This window comes from Homo sapiens, chromosome 7 (genome assembly GCF_000001405.40).
Source record: "Homo sapiens chromosome 7, GRCh38.p14 Primary Assembly".
Taxonomy (NCBI): domain Eukaryota; kingdom Metazoa; phylum Chordata; class Mammalia; order Primates; family Hominidae; genus Homo; species Homo sapiens.
Genome location: NC_000007.14, coordinates 135796411 through 135803636, shown reverse-complemented (window position 1 = coordinate 135803636; position 7226 = coordinate 135796411). Strand labels below are relative to the sequence as shown.

The 7226-nt window shown below is 46.3% G+C and overlaps 1 annotated feature.

Annotated features, from left to right (window-relative positions):
* Positions 4343-4563: a silencer, noted in NCBI's record as "fragment chr7:135483822-135484042 (GRCh37/hg19 assembly coordinates)". NCBI's record gives its function as "represses an EF-1alpha promoter that drives an FKBP-Casp9 reporter gene in an ReSE screen in K562 erythroleukemia cells {active_cell/tissue: K562}" and the evidence as "EXISTENCE:reporter gene assay evidence [ECO:0000049][PMID:32094911]".

Below are 7226 nucleotides of genomic sequence, written 5' to 3'. Positions count from 1 at the left end.
CTGGCTCAAGCAGCTATGATCTTTTGTGCTCTTTTAATAAAAATGGGTCATCAGACTCTCTGAGCACTTTGCCAATCTACTCCTACTAGCCTACAGAGAGGTGAAGAAAGAACTTAATCACCCCCAGAATCTCAGGGGTAAGAAACCTTCTATGGTCCTCCCATTCTTTTCCACTATAAGTTATCTATTGCCGCAACATTGTTCCATAACAGACAACCACAAAACCTCAGTGGAACACAACAATAAAGATGTATGTTTGCTCATGAGCCTGTGGATTGGCTGGGTTATCCTATTGATCTGAGCAGGCTCACACTCACATGTCTGGCAGGTCAGCTAGGGGTCAGCTGGTCTAAGACTACCTCAAGCTAGAATGACTCAGCTCTGTTCCATATGATCCCTCATCCTCCAGGAGGATAGCCCAGGCTTGTTCTCATAAGGTGGCAGGAGTTGATGACAAAGAGAGAAGCAAACAAGCCCAAATTTGTATCCAGTTTGCTCTTGTCCCATTGACCACAGTAAGTCCCAGAGTCAGAGTAGGCAGGGACCGCAAGGTTACAGGGCAAAAGGCATAGGTATAGAGAGACCATTGGTGTGGGATATGAATGACATCAATTTGTCACAGTGCCTGAAAGAGAAAAGATTGAAATTCCAAGAACAGATCAAAGCCTAGGACTGAGGAAGGAACTCTCCAAGGTAGAATTAGGAAAGTAAGAACAGAATTAGTCTCCAGAGAAGTGAACCTTTGGTTTCAAAAGAAATGGTGAGTCACAGACTGGCCCCATGGCTTATTCTGACCTTTTCTACTCCTGTGAGTGCTGTGATTTTGGGCAATGAATGGCTGAAAGCCCTGGCTTTTTTGCTCTCCACGGCAAGCAATCACAAATACTTTTGTTTTCCCTACCAACGAGATCTTTCCCTTCTGCATTCAAATATGATCTGCTCACCTTAAATAAACTCTCACTTGACTTCTTGGGCCTCTCCAGCTCTAGAAATACTTAAAACGTAAGGAAGAAAAAGAATAGATGGGAAGCAAGAAATCCTGGTGTCGTAACATGATCGTTCCCTTGAAGTTAGCACAGTGAGATTTCAGCTGGGGGCAGGAGGACTTGATCAGGACCAGCCGGGATGAGGTGAGGCAGGATCAACCTACCCATGTCATTGGCAAAGTCTGCAAAGGCTAGACTATGAGGCCATCATGTTTCTTGTTCCTCCTGGCTCTGAAATGTGGACTAATCTAACATGCACAGGATGTCTGCAGCCTCCTCACAACTTAACAAAGAGACAGGAGGGCTAGTTCACAAAACCCCCAAGAGTCCACTTCCCAAGACGGTTCCTACTGAATGGAGGGTGCGGTGCTGAGAGCAGAGTTGGGAGGTTTAGGAAGGGCTCTTCATTTCTCAGCGAGGCAGAGAAACAACCTGGAGTGCAATCACCCGGAGCAAAGGACTTGGGGAACAGCACGATAAATGTCCAGGTGCCAAGAATAGTTGGCAACAAGGACAGCAGGAGCCAAGCACGTGGAAGTGGTCTCCCGGGCACACTGCCAGAGCAGGGCTGCACTCAGAAACAGGACAAAGAGCCTGAGGGACCACAATCAGCGGAAAACCCAGCAGACAATACCAGAGGTGATGGCTGGAGGGACCTCTAGCCAGGCCATAGGGCAAGTGGCCTCTAAGACCATTGTTCCAGTCTGGGTTAGAGGGTGAAAGCTGGCATCTGTGACCAAAATGGGCCAAAGGAAAAGGCTAGGCTTTGAGCTGGGGCACTCAGATATGGTGAACTGCCAGAGAAGATGGGTATTCCAGAGCCAGCAAGTTAGCCAGGGCTGGGAGAAGACAGGGCACCTAAAGTAGATTGGTCAGTGCCTGAATCTGTGCCAAGTTGGAAGAGGGACAGGGACTGTGTCTGTAATTTACAGAACTGGTGATGTATAGCAAACGACCTGTAGGGATGAGGGGCACGGCGGGGCGGGGGTTAGGGGAGAGGCGGCCCGTGAATTCAGATGCAGGGTCCTACAGAGGAATTTGGACACCCAGCTTTGTCTCCCATTGGGAGACTAAGGACTCTTTGGCCACTTATGTGAACACAGAGATCAGTTCTAATTTCCTCTCTGTCTGTGAACAGAAGACTCACCAGCAACGGGGTTTGCAGTTGGCTTAGTCTTTTCTCCTACCCTTCCCCTCCCCAGGAATGGAAATAATTAGTGTTAACTCGTATATTCACAGAAATGCATTTATAAGGCATCAAGCCAATGATTTTGACCTTAATATTGCTCAGCTCACACCAATTGCACCAATGCGATCGATCACAACATGCAAAGAGAGTTCAGGGGTTAGCAAGTGTTCCAATTGTCTTCTCCTAAGAAGAGAGCGCCATCTTGTGTACAAACACTGAGTTCAGGATATGCTGAACCATTTTTTTGAGTTTTAGTTCACCAGAACTGAATCTGTGACCTCGTGTTTACTTTCCAGAGTTTCCTGAAACGTTGCATTATGAGAAACATGAAGATGTCCCTGAGCGTGTTAAGCTGTTGCCAGCCACGATTGTTATACTAAAGATGTACCTGGTCCGCGGAGGACATCTTTCAGCCTAGTTTTTGAAGACCTGTTACTTCTCTTCCTCAATTTTGAGTTTAATAGATGCAGAAAGACTTCCTACCTGAAATTCCACCTTTAAAGCATGTCTATGAAACAAAGGTTTTCTACCAGCTCTTCCATCCAAGTTTGAAACCTCCTGCTGAGCTTTTCTTCCCAATGTGTGGGGCCAGCCACGGTGTTGCTACCCGGGAGGGAGTGGTCTCGATGGGTAGCATTTGCTGATTTCCCTGATGCAAACTCTCGCATGGTGGCTGATTTCAAGGACTAGCGAGACCTCATTGCTGAAGAGCTGGGAAAAGCTGCCCCCGTCAGCTCTCCACAGCCAGTACAAGCTGGCTCCCGCCTACGCAGGAGACCCACGGATTATGCCCATCTTTGGGAAATGGCTCAGTTCATTGCTCAGAGATAAGGAACTGCTCAAAAGAGAGAGAATGCTGATAGGAACAGGCCAGATGTGGGGACGCAAAGACATATAATGTACCAGACAATGCCAGGAGGGTGGATATGAAGCAAAGAAAAGACATCTTCTCAAAATAAATAAATAAAAAGACATCTTCTCTCCCTTTTACAAAGACACAAAATCCCAGAGTCTTGAATGCTGTGTCCCAGAAGGGTCCATTTTCAATGGCACAATAATACATGGAAGAGGCTTAAAACTGTGCCTAACATTTCGTGCTCTATACGTTGTCTTAGTTGTTGTTAAAACTCAACTTTCTGGGATGCCTCAACTGGCCACGTATCTTGATAAATTCATTATTTTCTTCAATTATGCTGTAAGAAGAATACTTGTATCTTCTTCAGCCTCCAACAGACATTCCTTCACCATCTACGGAAAGACCCTGAATATTTTCACTGGAAAAGGGCCAGTAGTGAAATTGGCAAACACTCCTTCAACCAGGACAATGCTTCTGGGGAAATGACATTTATTGAGCACCTACTACATGCCAGGCAACTACAAAAGATCTCATTTCACCCTCACAGCAACTCTGTAAAGGAGGCGCTATTGCTGTCCTTTTATAAATAAGGAAACTGGGGCTCTGAGATGTTAAGGGAGTTGTCTAGGACTATATGGTGAGATAGTAACATAGCTGGGGTGACTCAAATCAGAATCTCTCAGGCTCAAAGCACGTTCCTCTCTCTATGTGTCCACACTGCCCTTGATTGAGAGAAGGCAGAGCTCAAAGGTGGCATTTTCATCAGGTTGTGAATCCACTTTCATGTCATATCACTGTGTGAATGGGACTCCCGCATTTGCACAGTGTACAGCCTGTGAACCCTTACCTTACATGGCTGTGTGCATATTTCTTGCCCCTCTTCTCTGTTACCTATACCCCATGGCCATTTTCTCTTCCCCAGACTACACCCCAATGCAGAAACAAAGGTCCAAAGAAAACACTCACTTCCACTTCAGTGAAACACAAATACTTTTCTCCTCAGAGGGTTGAGGAAGGAGAGAGAAAAGATGGTGGCCACTGAAAACAGGAGTGGAGGATGGTCTGGATTCCAGAAGGATGAGGAGCACCCTAAGCAGAAGAAAGAAGGTTCCTCTGTCAGAGAAGTCCAGCAAGGAGGGTGAGCTGCCCCCACAGAAGCCTCTGCCAAGTTCTCCTGTAGACAACGTCCCGGACACGTGTACGTCCCCCTAACCTTCGGGTCAGGAACCTGGGTAAGGGACCGCGAAGGAAAGCTGAGTCCCTGACTGAGTGATAACTGAGCGGAAATCAGTGGGGACATTTCCCTGTGGGCAGCAACAAGTAGTGATGGGGTTCCATGCTGTCCCTGGCCACAGGGAGATGTGCTGTGGGTAAACTACGTACCATAAAGGCAGTACAAGCGGTCCTGGGGATGAAAAAATACCATCTGAAATAGCTGCCACCAAAATTCCTCTTTGAGAGGAAACTCCTTTGTTGGAAGGGTTACTTGGGAAGTACTAGGGTTAAATAGTGAGCCCTTGAGGGGCATGGGTGTGGTGGGCACAAGGTCTGTGAGGAGAGCATGGCCTGGGCTTCCCGTGGTTGGTATGGAGGCAGGGTGGATGGGTGGGAGGAAAGAGGTGAAAAGAAAGACAGGAAGGTGAAGGGGGGTGTCAGCGAGGTAACGGGAAGCTGCCTAGAGAGGCGGAATGCCCCTCTCTGCAAGGAAACATACTCAACCCCCGGCTGTGACTGGGGTGAATGGGACTTTCTGGCGACTTCAGAAGCAGCTGTGGTCACATCTGGGTGGCTGTGATGTGGGACAGAGACTACCTGCAAAGACTTGGGGTCCTGGAGGCTGCAGTGACCCTGACTACATCAGCCCCTCTCTATCCCCAGAGTGGGAAGAAACTGTAGGTTCAAGCCAAGTTTAGCTATTTACTGTGACCTTGGTAGGTCCCTGCTGATAGCTGGCTTATGTAAAATTCAGACAATGAGCAGAGAAAACATAAATTCCAGCACAGGCGAATTTGGAAAATGCTGTATAGAGCAAATCGTGTTGACTTAGCATTTGTGCTTAGCCGAGAAGGTGCTGCCCTGCACGTGCTCAGAGCCCCTCTCCCATTTCACCAACTAGACAAGCCACTCCGCCATCCTGCAGAGAAGCTAAGAGAGGGAAGGGCAGGTTGCTCTCCCATGCTTCTGAACATGTGGAAGAGGCAAGGGAGAAACATGGGGTGAGGAAGAGAGAAAGACTTTCCCTATCCGAAGAGCAAACCAGTCTGTGTATGTTTGCCTCCAGTCAAACAGCTTCTAAATACTGAAGAGTGCCAGAGGACTATTTATTTTGCCACTTACAAGCGATCAGAAAAAAACCTTTTATTTACATTGTGGAGGCTCAAGGACCCTGAACTTATTCTTAGGCTATTAAAATAATTTTACTATTTTGGCAACGTCTAAATGCAAGTAATTTAAGACACCCCTCTGCCTAAGGCTAACAAAATCATTGTGGTATAACTATTAGTTTGGTGCTAAAAGTAATTGTGGTTTTTGCCATTAAAAGTATTTGTAGAACAAACCAATTACTCTTGCACCAACTTAATAGCATTGGATCCACTAACCTGGAAACACCACACCAGAGAGGTGCCTGACTGCAAGGAGAGCACATGGTTGGCACATGCCAAATGTTTGTGGAAGAAGCTGGGGAGTCCCCAGCAGCTGAGATGGATGGTGATCATCAACTTCCGAAGTGTTAAAGAAAACTGAAGGGTTCTGGCCAGGCGTGGTGGTTCACACCTGTAATCCCAGCACTTTGGGAGGCTGAGGTAGGCGGATCACCTGAGGTCAGGAGTTCTAGACCAGCCTGGACAACATGGCAAAACTCCATCTCTACTAAAAATACAAAAATTAGCCGGGTGTGGTGGTGCATGCCTGTGGTCCCAGCTGCTCGGGAGGCTGAGGCCAAAGACTCATTTGAACCCAGTAGGTGGAGCTTGCAGTGAGTTTAGATTACACCACTGCACTCCAGTCTGGGCAACAGAGTGAGATTCTGCCAAAGAAAGAAAGAAAGAAAGAAAGAAAGAAAGAAAGAAAGAAAGAAAGAAAGAAAGAAAGAAAGAAAGAAAGAAAGAAAGAAAGAAAGAAAGGAAGGAAGGAAGGAAGGAAGGAAGGAAGGAAGGAAGGAAGGAAGGAAGGAAGGAAGAAAACTGCAGGGTTTTGAAGGCAGGTGGCACTGTCCTGTAGGAGACTGAGGGTGGAACTTGTCCTTGAAAGCTCCCCTAACCTACTGAAAGTGGAATGAAGGGCTTGGATCCAAGCCTTTCAGAGGCAGCCAAGATCTTCCCAGTCCCCACGATGGGTTTCTTTGGTATGCTTGTTTGCTTTTCTTTGATTCTGATGTTCAAAGGAAATAGGGTGTGTTGATGTTTTAGGTGAACAGTGTGCTTTCTGGGTGACCTAATTTATCTAGCAGTGGAATGAAAAGGAAGAGAATGGGCAGAAAGAATCAAAGCCCATGGCCTACCTCAATAGAAAACGTGTGAGTTTTTCATATAATGTTATATGAACATGAATCTGCCATTCTGCTGTGCTGTGTCTTCCATCTGTTACTTTCTAAACTGTGGACAAGAAAAATACAACTGGCGTGAAGAATGAATGTTGCACAGGGTAGGGATGAGGGGTTGGTACATAGGAAGAGAATATGCTTGACACAGAAAAGAACTAACCATATACCTTATCTCATTTAATCCTCACAACAACCAGAAGGGCAACTAGTACATAAACAAATAAAAGCAAAACAAAGCAAAACAGGCCCAGAGAGAAAAGTCCCATCACTGGGAAGACCTAAGATTTGGGTCCAGGCCCGTCCAATGCCAGAGTCCTTTCTCTTTCTAATGCCTCGTGAAGGCAGTGATGACTCTGAAAATTACAAAACAGTCCTCCCTTGTTCAGGAGTTCCTGGTGTATCTACTTCAGACCAAATGCACTTATTCCTGGGAATTATTCAAGGTCTCGTCTTTTTTAGAATAGGTACAATATGGATGAGATCTTTTTAGCTAGCCTGCTTAGAGCAATCTAACTCTTAGGTCATACTCTTTCCAATATAGTAATAGACAAGGTGTTTAAGGGGATTTTGATCTTAAGAAGGTTAAATTTCCACATCTAAGTAGCTGTGGTATGTTGGAACAAGGGGGTTGTTTTGCCTTCTAAAACAGTC